We start from the raw sequence: 19,505 nt of genomic DNA, 5'->3' as shown, positions 1-19,505 counted from the left end.
TGAATTCCTTCAGAATGGTATTTGTCAACAAAAAAGTTCAAGTGAAAAGGAGGAGGGAAACTGGGGAAGCATGAAGAAAGGGAGTGAGAGAAGAAGGAGTGGGCATACAACAGTCAACACATAAAGAAATGGTTTTTACTGAAATGACTCTGCCCTGTGCCTCATGCACTAGGTGATGCAAGCATGCTGCTCAGACATCAACACCAAATGTCATTTAGAAATGGTAGTCTTCTCTGGGTTCTGAAGGACACTCGTTCCCCAACATGACACTATTAAATGATGCTTTCAAGGCAGACACTAAGACATTACTCCAAAGAGAAGGCTCTGGTGGCAGATGCTGGGGCCATATTCTTTATAGTCCTTCTTGGTGTGACAGACCTGAAATAACTCCAGAGTTGAGGCTAGCATTAAGCTTCCAAACCATAAGGCATAGTGCTGCATGTGACGGATTACCACCCGGACCTCTGTAAGCTTAGGTTTGATTATCCTGCCACTGAGCTCCTTACTGAGTTTTAATCTGGCATGTACCACTCTTCAAATCTCTCTGTAGTTGAGATTCATATCCCTGAATATGGCCAAACCCCTTGAAAGAACAACATTCTTATACAGTGGACAATGCACATCAATGGGACAGTTTTGTATTCATCAACAATATTCAAGATGGATTCCATAAAGTCTGGGTTGGCAAACTCTGGGTAAAAAAATATTTCAGGTTGCAGGAGCCTTTTGTAACCAACGTCTATTATGAACTTCTCCTGGTTGATCACATTGATACCTGTGTACTGTTTGATCCACTTCCAGGGATCCACATCATACTTAGCAAATTCCTTGACTATATCAGGGCAAAAGTAACAGTATTTCTCCTTAATGGCTTTTGTGGTCTCCAGTGACTGCTCAAGAGGGATTCCTACCTCCCTCTCCCTTAGCAGTTGTTGAATGAAATACACAGTATCACCTACAATCAGGATGTGATTGATGCAGCTCTCAATTACATAACCTTCTACAACTGGGAGAACAAGGGTGACTCCATCTCCTTTGTCAATGACTGTACTCATTAACATATATTCACCCACTTGTTGAGATGTCCAAGATACTTCCAAGGCTAGTACATCCTGAACTGCAATGTAGAATCCTGGTACATTAAATAGTTCAAACATAATTTCTGCAAAAATGCTCTGTATTTTCTAGTGTATTCAGTGGAAGTTCTGTCATTAAAAAATAATGGTCCTCAGATTCTGCTCAAAGATATTTAAAAACCACTTGCTCCATGAACCTTTCCATAATATCCCAGTCTTCAGTGATTCCATGTCATATTGACCACTTTGAAGCATACATATTTATCAATGGCTTCATCCTGTATGAAAAAGTCAAGGTCATCAACTCCCCTCAACATTCTCCCTTGGGCTTTGTCAACTACCTTTGCTGACTCTCTGATAGAAATGCATAAAAGAATAGTAAACTATGGCTCAGTGTTGCCTGCATAGCCAAGCTCAGAATATCTACTGAGGTGATCACAGGGCTGAGACCCAGAGCAGTGGGTACAACTCAATCTCCAGGTGTGGGCTGGATGTCAGGGGCTGAGAGCAAGGCAATGGAGGAGCCAGGGTGGGCACTGAGTGGCTCTTACCTGATGCCACAGTCTGCCACACAGGAAGGCAGGAACCCCGCCATGCTTGGAATACACAACACTTAGCCCCACTGGCCACCCTGGAGCACCCTGCCACCATCCACTTGGCAACCCACTCACCCCATACACCCTGTCTCCTGTGTGTTTCCACTTTTATTCATTTTAAGATATATTGTAGATAGGTGCAGCAAACCACATGGCACGTGTATACCTATGTAACAAACCTGCACGTTCTGCACATGTATCCCAGAACTTAAAGTACAATAAATTTTAAAAAAGGAATATTTTAAAGGATCAACCTACTATTTGGCAGTCATGGAAATAGTGAATGGGAATTAAAGGGAAAAAATAAGTAAGCAAAGGAAGGGAGGAGGAAAGGGAAAAAGAAAGGAAAGAAAAGGAAAAGGGAAATACAAGAAAAGGAGACAAATAAATAAATAAATAAACAAATAAGTGACTGAAAGTCTGAGAGTCGGCAAATACTATTCAGACAACACCGACAAAATAGGCCTCTTGCTAAAAATAGCAGAATGCACAAAGTACAGGAGCATCCTGTCTGTCCTGAGAGGCTGGGGAGGTTTAGGAAAAGAGGCTGGGGAGATTTGAGACAGGTCTGAAGTATGTAGTCAGTTTTTGCTTAGTGGAAAAAGTAATCATGGGTGATTCAGAAAAAGGAAGATACTTACATAATAATTGTTTTGTACCTTTTTTTAGTCTTCTATTACTTTCATAAAATTATCTTTGCATCAAAAATTATTAACACTTTCAGGACTCCTTGTATGCAAAATTCTTTGAATTGCATTTCTTAATTTGTGATCACACTGGTAATTTATCTAGCACAATGAACTGAATGTGTGTCTTTACGTTTAAAGGGAAAAATAAAATTCAAAACAGCATATTTGATATAATTTATGATTAGATAATAGAGAAATATAAATTTTAATATAATTTTTAGAAAGTAAAACTTAGACCAGTCACGATGGCTCCTGCCTGTAATCCCAGCACTTTGGGAGGTTGAGGCGGGTGGATCACCTGAGGTCAGGAGTTCAAGACCAGCCTGACCAACATGGAGAAACCCTGTCTCTACTAAAAATACCAAATTAGCCAGTACTAACGATTCATGAGAAATCTGCCCCCATGATCCATTCACCTCCCAGCAGGACCTATCTCCAACTTTGGGGATTACAATTCAACATGAGATTTGGGCAGGGACACATATCCAAACTATATCAACAGAGTTTCATTGTGTTGCTCGGGCTAGTCTCAAACTCCTAGCCTCAAGCAGTACTTCTATCTCAGCCTCCCAACTACCTTTGGGGATTATAATAATCAATCATCTTCACTTTTTACAATCTACTTTGGTTTAGTAATTTTTACTTAATTCCAGTGTTATATAGCAACTTTGATCAATGTATCTCTTATATGCTATGAACTCAGCAGTATTGTTATAGTTATTGCCTATAATAATCAGATGATTTTTTTAAAAAAAGAGATGAAATCAGAATACACACACACACACACATACAATCTTTTTTTTTTTTTTAAGACGGAGTTTCGCTCTGTCGCCCAGGCTGGAGTGCAGTGGCGCGATCTCGACTCACTGCAAGCTCTGCCTCCCGGGTTCACGCCATTCTCCTGCCTCAGCCTCCCATGTAGCTGGGACTACAGGCACGCGCCACCATGCCCAGCTAATTTTTGTATTTTTAGTAGAGACGGGGTTTCACCGTGTTAGCCAGGATGGTCTCGATCTCCTGACCTCGTGATCCGCCCGTCTCGGCCTCCCAAAGTGCTGGGATTACAGGCGTGAGCCACTGCGCCCGGCCCACATACAATCTTTTATACTTACAAATTTATTTACCATTTCCCGTGCCATTTATTCCTTATAGGTTCAAGTTGCCATCTGGTGTCATATCCTTTTATCTTAAAAGCATTTTCTTTAGTGTTTCTTTAGCAAGGATAAGTTCTCTTTATTTTTATTTATCTGGAAATGTCTTTATTTCAGCTCCATTTTTGAAGGATCATTTTAATGGATACAGAATTTTTAATTGACAGTTATTTTTCCCTCCACTTTTGAAATGTCGCTTCATAAGGCCTCCATTTTTTTCAGATAAAAATGCCAGTATTGATAATATTATTGTTCCCCTGTATGTGATAAGTCATCCCTTGCTACTTTCATGATTTTCTTATTATCCTTGGTTTTCACCAATTTGACAAGGATGGCTCTAGGTGTGAATCTCTTTGTGTTTATCCTACTTGAGATTTGTTGGCCTTCTTATATCTGAAGATTAATGTTTTTTGTAGCATTTTTGAAGTTTTCAGACATTATGTTTTCAAATATTTTTCTGTCCTCTTATCTCTCTCTTCTCCTGGAATTCCCATTATGCATATGGTAGTGCTCTTGATGGTATCCCATAAGTTTCTGAGGATCTGTTTATTATCCTTCATTCTTTTTTCTTTTTGTTCTTCAGATTGATTAACCTCTATTGGCCTATCTTCAAGTTCACTGATACTTTCTTTCACAAGGTCAAATATGCTATTGAACCTCGCTAGTGATTTTTTCACTTTAACTGTTGTACTTTTCAATTCTAGATTCTATTTTTAAACATATTCTGTCTCCTTATTCGTATTCTCTATTAGACAGCACTTTATCATATTTTTAATTTGAACATATTTATAATATATACTTTGAAAACTTTCTTTCTAAATCCAATATCTGAATTGAGACAGTTTCTATTCACTGCTTTTTTTCCAGAGTATAAGCCATATTTTCCTGTTTCCTTACATGTCTGATAATTTTTAATTGAAAACTAAACACTTTAATTACACATTATAGCAAATCTGGATTTGGTTTTTATTTGTTATTGTCTTTGTTGTTGTTATGTTTTGGTAATTGGCCTATACTTGTGCTGTGTAATCCTTCTGCCCAGTGGTTTTCAGCATTGATGTCTTTTATATTGTGTTGTTGTTGTTATTGTTGTTTTAGCCTGTCTTTCTAGGGATTTCCTTTGTGTCTGTTGCATAGCTTGATTTTTGAGAGACATTATATTAAAGCTAGTAGTAAGGCTTCCACTCTCTGCCAAATAATCTGTGGGTGGGTGGGTGAATGCATTCAAAGTTGCAATTAATACTCAAGTCTTACTTCATTTTTACTTTTTGTCATACTATCTTGAGTCTTTCCTGCACTTCCATACTTTTCCAATCGGCAGTATGTGTGGAGAACTTTTCTCAGACTTTTTATGATTCTCTCCTTTCCAGGATTTCTCTCTCTCTCTTTTTTTTTTTTTTTAGTAATACTCAGGTTTTTAATTTATTATAGTGAATGGATACAAAGCAGAATTAGCAAAGGGAAAAAGTTGTATGTGGTAAAGTCTGGAGGATACCAGGTATGAGCTTCTTGGAATCATCTCCTGTGGAGTTACAAGGATGTGTTTCTCTTTCCCAGCATGAAATTTTGACAGCACATGTGCAATGTCATCTACCAGGACCAGAGTCTCATTAGAGACTCAGTTCTCAGGATTTTACGGAGGTTACTCTCCTTCACATGTACCAGAATTCCAGACTCTCAGAGGAAAAGCAGCTGTTCAGAGTAAACCACATTGTTTGTATAAACAGTTTAGGCACAGTGAGCCACTCTTCTCAGTGAGAGAATTGGAACTTGGAACTGGAAAACTCTAGCCTAGCATGTGGGTCTTTCTTTTCTTTCTTTCTTTCTCTTTCTTTCTTTCTTTCTTTCTTTCTTTCTTTCTTTCTTTCTTTCTTTCTTCCTTTTTCTTTCTTTCTTCTTTCTTTCTCTCTCTCTTTCTTTCTTTCTCTCTCTCTTTCTTTGTTTCTTTCTCTCTTTCTTTCTTTCTCTCTCTTTCTTTCTTTCTTTCTTTCTTTCTTTCTTTCTTTCTTTCTTTCTTTCACTTTGAGTTCCAGGATACATGTGCAGAACATTCAGGTTTGTTACACAGGTATACATGTGCCATGGTGGTTTGCTGCACCTATTGACCCTCAGGATCTCTCACTTAAATTTTTGTCTTGTCTTCCACTTCCCCAGTTGAAACTGCAACCTCAGACTAGCAAATCTGCAATTCTCTCTGTTCATTCCCAAACCACTCTGCTATATTTAACTGGCAAAACCATTGATTTCTTCCCTCTGCTCCATACCAAATCCACCCGTGCCCCCAGCCCTAACAGGAAAGCTGCTGGGTTTTACATCCAGCTTCAAACTGGTAAAACTACAGTTTTCCCCAACTGAGCTTGGGGGTGAGAAGAGAGATGGGAGTGTATTAGTCTGTTTTCATTCTGCTAATAAAGACATACCCAAGACTGGGAAGAAAAAGAGGCTTAATTGGACTTATAGTTCCAGGTGGCTGAGGAGACCTCAGAATCATGGCAGGAGGTGAAAGGCACTTCTTACATGGTGGTGGCAAGAGAAAATGAGGAAGATGCAAAAGCGGAAACCCCTGATAAAGCCATCAGATCTTGTGAGACTTATTCACTACCACGAGAACAGTATGGGGGGGAACCACCCCCATGATTCAATTATCTCCCACGAGGTCCCTCCCACAACACATAGGAATTATGGGAGTACAATTCAAGATGAGATTTGGATGGGGACACAAAGCCAAACTATATCAGGGAGAAACCCCCGTCAGGAAGGGCTCAGACTTTTACCAATCCTACCCAAAACCCTAACACTTTTTTCAAGAATAAATGCTTCTTAAATTTGATAACTGCCTTTGATGAGTTTTCAGGGTCCTGAAATTATTGTTTTTGGTATTTCTGCAATTTTTGGGGGGAGTTTTGGTGTGGAAATAAATTGCCAACCTTTTCATGTCACCTCCCAACCTTATCTTTATATCCTCTGATTAACAATTTTCATTAGTAATGTGTTACACAACAAATACTTGTTTAGACTAACCTACATTTTACCAATTTCTTTGCACATTGTTCCGTCTTTTCTGGTTCTATGTCATATTTCTAAAGCATATCTTTCAGTAGATTTTTCCCTGGTAAAAAATGGCATATGTTCTTAAATGTATTTGTTTGACAATATCTTTCATTTGTCTTTTGTTCGAGTGACAGTTAACTGGCTACAGAATTCAACACTGAATGTTTTATTTATCTCTGTACTTTGAAGACTTTATTTAATTATCTTCCATCTTCTATTGTTGCTGATAAGAATTGAGAATCTGCTCTATTGTTTATTCAATTATGATTAATCTCTCTTTCTCTGTCTAGATTATTTAAGATTTTATTTTTGCCTTTGGTAGTCTATAGTTTCTCAACATTTTATCTAAGTATCTATTTTTACTTAATCATGATTAGAACTCATTTGACTTCCTGTGTCCAAATCAATAAAAACCCTAATCAATTCTGTAAAATTTGAAGCCAGTTTTCTTCTCAAATATTATATCTTCTTCATTCTTTCAATGGATGTTTCTGAAACTACCATTAGTTGTGTTTTAGATCTTTTCCATAATCTAAATCTCTCATTTTCCACCTCGTTTTTTTTTTGTGTGTGCTATGCTCTTAAATAATTTCCTCATATCTACTACTTTGCTGTGTTCTCTCTTCAGCTTTGCCTAGATTGCTATTTGGGTACTTAGTGGGTTTTTTTCAGTTGAGTAAATTTTAAAGTTTTTTCTAGATGTTCTATTTAATTATTTTACAATACTTTCAAGTAATTTCTTCTTCTCATGTCTCCAATTTTTAAAAATTTTCTCTAGTCCCTTTGAAAATACATATTTTATAGTGTCTATCTAGTGGTTCTATTAGCTGAGGTTTTTAGACATCTAATCCCATTCTTTATTGTATCTGTTAACTTTTGCTCATGGGATATTTCTTCTTATTTTAAGTTCAGATTCACTTGGCTTTACCTTTGAGACTTTATGCAGTCTGGGATCAGGTGTGTCTATTAGAGATTTTTTGAATTAGCATCTACTAAGTTTTCTAGGGATACTTCAATGCAGGGACACTTTTATGGTAGGTTTAGAACTTTGGGATCCCTAACCTGTGCACGTAATGTAATTTGAGCCCTACGCATAAGTTGGATGAGGCCAGTTTTACATATGAATTCTCAAAAAAGACTTTGCCACCCAGAGACCAGCTAAGACAAACTGCCTTGTCTTCTCAATTTGTCAGTAGGATGACATTTTCTGGTCTGTGTTTTTTATTTTTGTTTTTTGTTTTGTTTTGTTTTCTTGAGATGGAGTTTTGCTCTTGTTACCCAGGCTGGAGTGAAGTGGCGCCATCTCAGCTCACTGCAATGTCCGCCTCCTGGGTTCAAGCAATTCTCCTACCTCAGCCTCCCAAGTAGCTGGGATTACAGGCATGCACCAACAGGCCAGGCTAATTGTCTGTATTTTTAATAGAGACGGCGTTTCACCGTGTTGGTCAGGCTCATCTTGAATTCCTGACCTCAGGTGATCCACCCGCCTCGGCCTCCCAAAGTCCCGGGATTACAGGCACGAGCCACCATGCCCAGCCTGGTCCATTATTTTAGTAAGAGTTTAGCCCTCCAAGGCTTCCAGTTTTGCAGGATGACAATAATCAGAGGGGAGGAGGAAAAAAACTTTGTTCTAACTTTCTGCCTGGAGTGAGTCAAAATCCTCCTCTTCTACCCTGGCAAATTCTATACAGCCAGAAAGGGTTCATAGCTAAAAAGTTCATGTAAGCTGTTTTAAGAATATTAAAAGCTCCTGGCTAACATGGTGAAACCCAGTCTCTACTAAAAATACAAAAAATTAGCCGGGCGCGGTGGCGGGCGCCTGTAGTCCCAGCTACTCGGGAGGCTGAGGCAGGAGAATGGCGTGAACCCGGGAGGCAGAGCTTGCAGTGAGCCGAGATTGCGCCACTGCACTCCAGCCTGGGCGACAGAGCGAGACTCCGTCTCAAAAAAAAAAAAAAAAAAAAAAAAAAAGAATATTAAAAGCATTAGCAATTATGATTCATAGCAAATAAAGGTAGCCATTTAATTAGCAAATGGAAATTTACCATGTTATTGTCTGTCCTTTACAGAAACCTGTGGATTCCTCAGTGAGTAGCACCTAGTTGTCAGAAACAAGATGTCTAGTAACTTATACCTACTCATCTTAATCTACCTCTACCTCCTACACATAATCTAAGATACTTTATATTTATTCCCACAAAATCTAGGTACATTTCTTCCAGCCATTTCCTCCTATAATACATTTATGCCAAATATCAGTTGAATTATCCTTTCAATAAAAAGATTTAGCAGGTTCCTGTTAAAAGATTTGGCACCTTGACACTGTGATCTTCAATAAGGTTGTGAATTCTTATCACAGCCAATCATCCTCTTATTTTCCATCCTGATGAAAAAGCTATTTTAAAATATAAAATGAAGTAAATCTCATCATATTGCCATGATGTTTTTAACTATCATATATTATAAGTTAGCATTTTCAAGAGTTCACATATAGGTTTTTTTTTTAATTTTTTTTATTTTTTTATTGAGACTGAGTCTCACTCTGTCACCCAGGCTGGAGTGCAGTGGCACAATCTTGGCTCACTGCAACCTCCACCTCCTGGGTTCAAGCAATTCTCCTGACTCAGCCTCCCATATAGCTGGGATTACAGGCACGCACCACCACGCCTGGCTAATTTTTGCGTTTTTAGTAGAGACGGGATTTCACTGTGTTGGCCAGGCTGGTCTCAAACTCCTGACCTCATGTGATCCAGCCCACCTCAGCCTCCCAAAGTGCTGGGATTAAGGCGTGAGCCACTGCACCTGGCCCACATATAGTTTTTAAATATTTTTAAAGTGAAAACACTTTGTTTAAAACCTACTTCATAAATTGACAGGTTATTTGGAATATATGTTAAGCAGATATCTCTTTCACCAAACTAGTAAGCAATGTTGATCTATACCATGTATCATTTTATAGAACTGGCTATTAGTATATATGATAAAAGAGAATTGATCATTTGTTTGTATACATCTATGTGTATGTAGATATATAGCTGTACACTTTTTTGTATTTTAGGAGTTACACTGTTTGTGATATGGTGTATGACCTGGTCAATCTTAGGCTCTGAAGCTCTCCCTAGTGGAAATTTATTTGGATTGTTAATTATTTTTTATAGTGCCATTATTGGGGGAAAAATTTTACAACTCATTAGAATACCTTTAGTGCCTCCATTTCCACCTCTTCTTGGTAAGTATATAATTAGCTCTCTTTTCTTTATTATTGACTATATGCAAATTTTGAACATTTTCTTGTTGAATTAGTTATAATTCAGAAATATTTCAATGTAGTATGTTTTATATAGTTTCTTCATGTGTGTATTTGCTGTATGTGTGTGTGTGTGTGTGTATAGCTCTTTTATAGGGGCATTTATTTCTCTCTCTGTCTACATATATACACACACAAGTTTTATCCAAAATTTATTTTTAAAATAAATTTAATATCCTTAGTACATTATTCCTGTTGCTTTATTGTTTAATAGAATCTTTAAAAATTTTAGATTCACGGAGTACATGTGCAGGTTTGGTACATGGATATATTGCATAATGGTGAGATTTGGGCTCTAGTGAACCCATCATCAAACAGTGAATACTATACCCAATAGGAAATTTTTCAACCTTAACTCTCCAACCCTCTCTCCTTTTGGACTCCCCAGTGTCTATTATTTCCATCTTTATGTCCATATGTACCCATTGTTTAGCTACCACATATAAGTGAGAACATGTGGTATTTGAGTTTTCTGTTTCTGAGTTATTTCACTTAGGATAATGGTGTTCAGCTCTATCCATGTTGCTACAAAGGACATGATGCCATTCTTTTTTATGACTGCATAGTATTCCATGGTGTATATGTAACACATTTTCTTTATTTAGTCATTTAAGTTGATTCCATGTCTTTTTATTGTGAATAGTGCCACAATGAACATATGTGTGTATATGTCTTTATGGAAGAATGATTCACATGTTGAACCATCCTTGTATTTCTGGAGTACAACCCACTTAACTATATTATCTCTTTGATGTACTATTGAATTGATTTTGCTAGTTGAGAATTTTTGCATCTATGTTCATCAGGGATATTGACCAGTAGTGTGTGTGTGTGTGTGTGTGTGTGTGGCTTTGCCTGATTTGGGTATAATTGTGATACTAGATTCATAGAATGTGTTAGGGAGGGAGTCCCTCCTTGATTTTTTTGGATTAAGTTTCAGTCACCTTTGACCCTGAACTAGTATTCTAGTGGATTGTACAATGACCCTGAACTAGTGGATTGTACAATGAATAAATGAATGAATATAAATTATTGCAAAATAAAATTTTGTTAAGTATATGATAACCATACAAATGCAAGACAATAAACAATGTGATGTGAAAACTCTCAGCCAGCCTACCATATTTGTGTTTGTTTTTGAACTGTATAGTGGGAGGAGGTGCTCCTTACAATTTTCACTTTGTAAACATTTATTCTTTGATTTTAACCATCACTGCTATAACCACCGTCACTCGTGGATTCATCAAAAATTAAGTAAAGAATTATCTTATTTATTTTATAAAACTTTGTAAAATGTATGTAGAGCTCAAATTTATTTCATTGTTTAATACTAGAAGTGTTTTGGATCTTTATTTAGAAGTTTGATGATGTTTTGTGACCAGAAATATGCTGTAGGAAATTGACTCTTGTTCATATCATTTAGCCTATGCTAAAATTGGTTTTATTGTATACCATTTTACTCAAAGTTGCCATTTCCAATCACCTATCGACGATGCTGAGTGAGAACTTACTGTATTCAAATATATCTAAATATTCAGTACAGTGGGCCAGGCATGGTGGCTCATGCCCATAATCCCAGCAGTTTGGGAGGCCAAGGCAGGAGGATCACCTGATCCCAGGAGTTCAAAACCAGCCTGGGCAACATAGCAGACCTTGTCTTTACAAAATATTAAAAATTTTTCTGGGTCTCAGCTACTCAGGAGGCTAAGGCAAGAGGATCACTTGAGCTCAGGAGGTTAAGCCTACAGTGAGCCATGTTTGCATCACTGCACTCACCTTGGGCAACAGAATGAGACCCTGTCCCCAAAAATAAATATATATTCAGTACACTGTCAGTAGAGATAATCTCTACATCTTATCCCTGCTGTCCCTTCTGTATCCACAGTTTTCTTACAGCACCTTCTAAGTATTTATTGAATCATTTTCCTCCTCTCCAAACTTTCTCTTTTGCTCTAGCTTAGGCTATTTGTTTCCAACTTTTGCGTGGACTGTGACGGAGCCTTCAATTTGGTCTCTGTCTCCAGTTTTATCCCTAACTAATTCACCAAGACCCTCATATAAAAATCGCAAGACTCATTATATTACTTCCTGCCTAAAACCTTCCCATGGTGCCTTACTTTGCCAAAGTGGGGGGAGACCTTTCTATGATCTGGCCCACCAAGCTCATTCTCCTCCCTCCTTTCCTTGCCCTGTATGTTCCAGCAACACTAAATTACTTGTTGAACCCCATTTAGGTGTATTGTTTATCGCCATTCCTTTATTCATGCTGCCTTCTCTACTTGCTTGTAACCTGCCCTTTACCAAAATAATGAGAGACATAGTGCATTAGAAAATAAACATTTCTGTTTTCTTTCTCAGAAAAATGAACTGTCATGTATGTTTATTTTCTTTCTTTTAAGGGATGTTACTGGCTGGATTTACAATTAGGAATGTTCCATTCATCAGTGAACACGTCCATGTTCCTAACGCATGGTCTTCAATTTTAAGAAGCATTGCCCTTAACATTATTCTAATACGAGCTGGGCTTGGACTCGATCCACAGGTAGATTTACAATTACAAATCGAGTAAGGTTATTTCAAATATTAGAGGATGGTGAGAAAGAAAAAGAAGCAAAAATTGTATTTACCTGTTCCAAGTGGAGTCTGTAAACAAACCTAAGATAAAGAAAAAAAGGCCGGGCATGATGGCTCATGCCTGTAATCTACAAAAATTAGCCGTGCATGGTGGCATTTACCTGGTAATCCCAGCTACTCGGGAGGCTGAGGCAAGAGAATCGCTTGAACCTGAGTGACAGAGGTTGCAGTGAGCTGAGATAGTGCCACTGCAATCCAGCCTGGGGGACAGAGTGAGACTCCGTCTCAAAAAACAAAACAAAACAAACAAACGTTTTATAAGAAAAACCTTATACAATTCTTTTTCTTTTTTTAGGGAGATTAAGGATTTCAGTAATTTTTTATGACGTTTTCTCTACAGGATTATGTTCCTGATTATCTTTGCATTATTGTAAAATCTAATCTTTTAAAGCATTTCTTAAAATATTACATTCTAGGGATCATAAATCCCATCTATAAGAAGATGACTATTCATGAATATGACAGCCACTCAAATAAATGTGGCAAATGTGGTTTAATAGAAATAGCTCAAGAGCATAAATAATTATAGCCAATGAGATTATATTCTCCAGCAGAAAGTATGAACCAAGGAGAAAATTGAAAAGTTCTCCCTTTTAAAATGAATTATGCAGTTTTTAAGTTATTTTCTTTGGCATGTTAGTGTTGTATTTATACTTATTAAGTTAATCAAAGAGTTCATATCAAAAAGTTAATGGGAAAACACTACTAGGACACTATTATTATACTATGTATTAGGAAAGTTCAGGAAGGTAGCATTAGCTATTTAATCACAGTAAAATTGATATTTTCATATTAAAATACAATAATATTTTATAAAAGATGAAATTGTTTATAATCCAACCTATGATGACTTATAAAATATAATAGAGTTCAAAGTCCAGTGGGGCAATCTGTTGAAATGAGATTTTGTTTAGTGAAAGCTTCTTATGAAAAAAGACTTTATAGTCCAACATTTGTTAAAATAATTTTCTTGTTGGCCACTGTAAATGCATCAAATGTGACTGTTTTGTGTTTCAGGCTTTGAGACATTTGAAGGTGGTTTGTTTCAGATTGGCTGTAGGTCCATGCCTTATGGAGGCAAGTGCAGCTGCTGTTTTTTCCCACTTCATTATGAAATTTCCCTGGCAATGGGCAATTCTATTAGGGTAATTTCTTTCTCATTTTTTCTTATGAAAATATTCAATTAAGGATGCTTGTTTAAAACTGTTAAAACATTCAGAATATTGTATAGAAAATCTCTATTAAAATTCATTTCACAGTGTTAAAATCCTTGGAAAGCAGTTGATTAAAAGCAGAGAATGTCCCAAATTGCACGAAATTTTTTTAACAAACATTCATATCCCCTAAATGTTTATCATAAAGAAAATTCACGTGATCAATTTATTCCTTTTCATCTGTATTATAACATATCTGTATGCTTTAGTCTATCTAATGGCCTCTTCCTCATAGCTATATGTAAATACAGTTGCACATTTCATATATATGTATGTGTGTATATATATATTTGAGAAACATTTTATATAGACATAGGTGTATAAATATAAACTCTCCCATTTTAAAGAAAGCAAGCAAACAAAAACTCTTGCCATATATCCAATGCCCCATCCATCTTTATTTACATCCATTTATCTTATGTTTGAATTCCTCAAAATAAGTCTATAACTACTGTCTCTAGATCCTAACTCCTTTTCATTTCTTAATTCATCAACTTTTGTCTCTGCTTATCCATTCCAATGACACTCATAGCAAAGATCATCCATTACATAGTTACTACAAAATCCAGTGAATTTTTAAATTAATGTTTATGATTAAATACTCAAATGCACTTTTATTTTAAAAATTAGAACTTTATAAATAAAGGAGGAATGACCTTAAACTATGCCTTCAAATCATAATGCCCGTAACTCTACCCAAAGTGACAACTCTTAGGAGTTTTTTTCTTCTCCAATTTTTATTTTGGCTCAAGGGGTACATGAGCAGGCTTGTTATATGGATAAATTGCATGTCACAGGGGTTTGGTATGCGGATTATTTTGTCACCCAGGTTGTAAGTATAATACCCAATACGTAGTTTTTCCATTCTCCCCCTCCTTCCACCCTCCACCCTCAAATTCACCTAGTGACAATTGTTCCCTTCTTTCTGTCCATGTGTACTCAGTGTTTAGCTCCCACTTATAAGTGAGAATATGGGATATTTGGTTTCCTGTTCCTGTGTTAATTCACTTTGCATATTGGCCTCAACTCCATCCACGTTGCTCCAAAGGACATGATCTCGTTCTTTCTTATGGCTGTGTATTATTCTATGGTGTATATGTGCCACATTTTCTTTATCTAGTTCACCATTGATGGGCATTTAGGTTGATCTCATGTCTTTTTTATTTTTTTCATTAGTTTTTAAGGAACAGGTGGTGTTTGTTTACATGGAAAATATTTTTAGTGGTAATTTCTGAGATTTTGGTGCACCCATCACCAGAGCAGTGTACACTGCACCCAAGGTGTAGTCTTTTATCCCTCACCCTCCTCCTACTCTTCCCCCTAAGTCCCCAAAGTCCATTGTATCATTCTTATGCTTTTGCATCCTCATAGCATAACTCCCACTTATAAGTCAGAACATACAATGTTTGGTTTTTTCATTCCTGAATTACTTCACTTAGAATAATGGTGTCCAACTCCTTCCAGGCTGCTGTGAATGTCATTATTTCATTCCTTTTTATAGCTGAGTAGTATTCCGTCCATGGTCTGTGTGTGTATATATATACACACATACACACATATACACACATATATATGTGTATATACACACATATACACACATATATATGTGTATATACACACATATATATGTGTGTATATACACATATATACACATATATATGTGTATATACACATATATACATATATACACATATATACACATATATATGTGTATATACACATATATACACATATATATGTGTATATACACATATATACATATATACACATATATGTGTGTATATACACATATATACACATATATGTGTGTATATACACATATATACATATATACACATATATGTGTGTATATACACATATATATATACACCACATTTTCTCTATGCATTCATTGATTGATGGGCATTTGGGCTAGTTCCATATCTTTCACAATTGCAAATTTTGCTGCCAAAAACGTGTGTGCAAGTGTTTTTTTCATATAATGACTTCTTTTCCTCTGGGTAGATACCCAGTAGTGGGATTGCTAGATCAAATGGTAGATCTACTTTTAATTATTTAAGAAATCTTCATACTCTTTTCCATAGCGGTTGTACTAGTTTACATTCCCCCCAGCAGTGTAAAAGTGTTCCCTTTTTACCACACCCATGGCAACATCAATTTTTTTTAATTTTTTGATTATGGCTCTTCTTGGAGGAGTGAGATGGTATCGCATTTTGGTTTTGTTTGCATTTCCCTGATAATTAGCGATATTGAGGATTTTTTCATGTTTCTTGGCCATTTATATCTTCTTTTGGGAAGTGTCTATTCATGTCCTTAGCACACTTTTTGATAGGATAAATTGTTTTTTTCTTGCTGATATGAGTTCCTTATAGATTTTGGATATTAGTACTTTGTTGGATGCATAGTTTGTAAAGATTTTCTCCCACTCTATAGGTTGTCTTTTTACTCTGCTGATTATTTCTTTTGCTGTGTAGAAGCTTCTTAGTTTAATTAAGTCCCATCTATTTATCTTTGTTTTTGTTGCCTTTGCTTTTGGGTTCTTGGTCATGAAGTCTTTGCCTAAGCAAATGTCTAGAAGGGCATTTCCAATGTTACCTTCTAGAATTTTTATAGTTTTAGGTGTTAGATTTAAGTCTTTGATCCATCTTGAGTTGATTTTTGTATAAGGTGAGAGATGAGGATGCAGTTTCATTCTTCTACATATGGCTTGCCAAATATCCCAGCACTGTTTGTTGAATATGGTGTCCTTTCCCAACTTTATGTTTTTGTTTCCTTTGTTAAAGATCAGTTGGCTTAAGTATTTGGCTTTATTTCTCAGTTCTCTATTCAGTTCCATTAGTCTATGTGCCTATTTTTATACCAGTATTATGCTGCTTTGGTGAATATAGCCTTATAATATAGCTTGAAGTCAAGCAATGTGATGCATCCACACTTGTTCTTTTTGCTTAGTCTTGCTTTCATTATGCGGACTATTTTTGGCTTCCACATGAATTTTAGGATTGCTTTTTCTAGCTCAGGGAAGAATGATGATGTAGATTGCTTTTGGCAGTATGGTCATTTTCACAATATTGATTCTACCTATCCATGAGCATGTGATGTGTTTTTATTTGTTTGTGTCATCTATGATTTCTTTCTGCAGTGCTTTGTAGTTTTCACTGTAGAGGTCTTTCACCTCCTTGGTTAGGTATATTCCTAAGTTGGTTTGCTTGGGGTTTTTTTCTTTGGTTTTGTTTGTTTGTTTTGTTTTTTTTGTAGCTGTTTTAAAAGGGGTTGAGATCTTGATTTAATTCTCAGCTCAGTCACCGTCAGTGTATACCAGTGCTACTGATTTGTGTACATTGATGTTGTATCCTGAAACGTTACTGAACTCATTTATCAGATCTAGGAGCTTTTTGGATGAGTCTTTAGGGTTTTCTCATTATATGATCATATCATCAGGAACAGCAACAGTTTGACTTCCTCTTTACTGATTTAGATGCCCTTTATTTCTTTCTCTTGTCTGATTGCTCTGGCTAGGACTTCCAGTACTATGTTGAATAGAAGTGGTGAAAGTGGGCATCCTTGTCTTTTTCCAGTTCTCAGGGGAATGCTTTCAACTTTTCCCCGTTCAGTATAATGTTGGCTGTGGGTTTTTCTTTCTTTCTCTTTCTGTATTTTTTTTTTGAGATGGAGTCTTGCTCTGTTGCCCAGGCTAGAGTGCAATGGCCCAATCTCAGCTCACTGCAACCTCTGCCTCCCAGGTTCAAGCAATTCTCATGCCTCAGCCTTCCAAAGACCTGGGAGTAGCTCCCCAAACTCGCCAGCATCTATTACTTTTTGACTTTTTAATAATAGCCATTCTGCCTCCTGTGAGGTTGTATCTCATTGCACTTTTGTTTTGCATTTCTCCAATGATTAGTGATGTTGAATATTTTTTCGTATACTTGTTGACTACGTGTTTGTCTTCTTTTGAGAAGTGTCTTGTCCTGTCCTTTGCGCATTTAATGAGGTTGTTAGATTTTTGCTTGTTGATTTTTCTAAGTTCTTTTTGGATTCTGGATATCAGACTTTTGTCGAATGCATGGTTTGCAAATATTTTCTTCCATTCCATAGGTTGTTTGTTGATGATATCTTTTGCTGTGCAGAAGCCCTTTAGTTTAATTAGGTCCCATTTGTCAATTTTTGTTTTTGTTGCAATTGCTTTTGGCATCTTTGTCATAAAGTGTTTTCCAGAATTGAAATTTCCTAGGATATGTCCAGAATGGCCTGTATCCAGAATGGTATTTCTTAGGCTATCTTCCAGGGTTTTTATAGTTTTGGGTTTTACACTTAAGTCTTTAATCTACCTTGAGTTGATTTTTGTAAACAGTGAAAAGTATGGAGTCCAGTTTCAATTTTCTGCATACGGCTAGCCAGTTATCCCACCACAATTTCCAAGTAGGGATTCCCTTCCCCATTGCTTGTTTTTGTCAAGTTTGTTGAAGAGTAGATGGCTATAGGTGTGTGGCTTTATTTCTGCGTTCTGTAACTTGTTCCACTGGTCTATGTCTGTTTTTGAGTTCCTTATAGATTCTGGATATTAGTACTTTGCTGGGTGCATAGTTTGTAAAGATTTTCTCCCACTCTATAGGTTGTCTTTTTACTCTGCTGATTATTTATTTTGCTGAGCATAACCATGCTGTTTTGCTTACTGTAGCATTGTAGTACAGTTCGAAGTCAGGTAGTGTGACGCTTTTGACTTTGTTCTTTTTGCTTAGGATTGCTTTGGCTATTTGGGCTTTTTTTTTTTTTGGCTCCAAATGAATTTTAGAATGCTTTTTTTTTAATCCTGTGAAAAATGTCATTGGTGTTATGATAGGAATGGCATTGACTCTGTAAATAGCCTTAGACAGTATGGACATTTTAACAATATTGCTTCTTCCTATCTGTGATCATGGAATGTTTTCCTTTTGTTTCTGTTGTCTCTGATTCTTTGAGCACTCGTTTGTAATTTTCATTTTAGAGATTTTTCACCTCCCTGCTTAGCTGTATTCCAAGGTATTTTGTAGTTTTTTTTGTGGCTACTGTGAATGGGATTGCATTCTTGATTTGGCTGTCAGCTTGGATGTTGTTGCTGTATAGAAATGCTACAGATTTGTGTACATTAATTTTTGTATCCTGAAACTTTGCTGAAGTCATTTGTCAGATCTGGGAGCTCTCGAGAGGCTACTATGGGGTTTTCTTGGTATAAAAGTGTTTCACCCAAGAAGAGGCATAGTTTGACTTCCATTCTTCGTATTTAGATGTCTGTGTTTCTTTCTCTTGCCTAATTGCACTGGCTAGGACATCCAGCACTATGTTGAATAGGAGTAGTGAGAGTGGGCATCCTTGTCTTGTTCCAGTTCTCAAAGGGAATATTCCAGCTTTTTCCCATTCAGTATGAAGTTGGCTGTGGGTTTGTCATAAATGGCTTCAATTATTTTGAGGTATGCTCCTTCAGTAACTCATTTGTTGAGGGTTTATATCAAGAAGGGATGTTTTTATTTTTAGTTCTATTTTATGATGAATCACATTTATTGGTTTGTATATCTTGAACCAAACTTGCATCCCAGCAATAAATCTTACATGATCATAGTGGACTAGCTTTTTGATGTGCTGCTGGATTCAGTTGGCTTGTATTTTGTTGAGGATTTTTGCATCTATGATTATCAGTGATAACTGTCCTGAAGTTTTCTTTTTTGCTGTGTCTCTGCCAGGTTTTCATATCTGAATGATGCTGACCTCATAAAATGAGTTAGGGAGGGATCCTTCCTCCTCATTTTTTCAGAA

At 36.6% G+C, this 19,505-nt stretch overlaps 1 pseudogene; it reads right to left on the bottom strand.

Annotated features, from left to right (window-relative positions):
• Positions 1 to 297: 297 nt before the first annotated feature.
• On the bottom strand, positions 298 to 1,671 carry LOC102723689 (actin-related protein 3B-like; annotated as a pseudogene).
• Positions 1,672 to 19,505: the final 17,834 nt, after the last annotated feature.

This window comes from Homo sapiens (assembly GCF_000001405.40).
Source record: "Homo sapiens chromosome 16 unlocalized genomic scaffold, GRCh38.p14 Primary Assembly HSCHR16_RANDOM_CTG1".
NCBI classification, from domain to species: Eukaryota; Metazoa; Chordata; class Mammalia; order Primates; family Hominidae; genus Homo; species Homo sapiens.
This window is presented reverse-complemented; position numbering and strand designations above follow the sequence as displayed.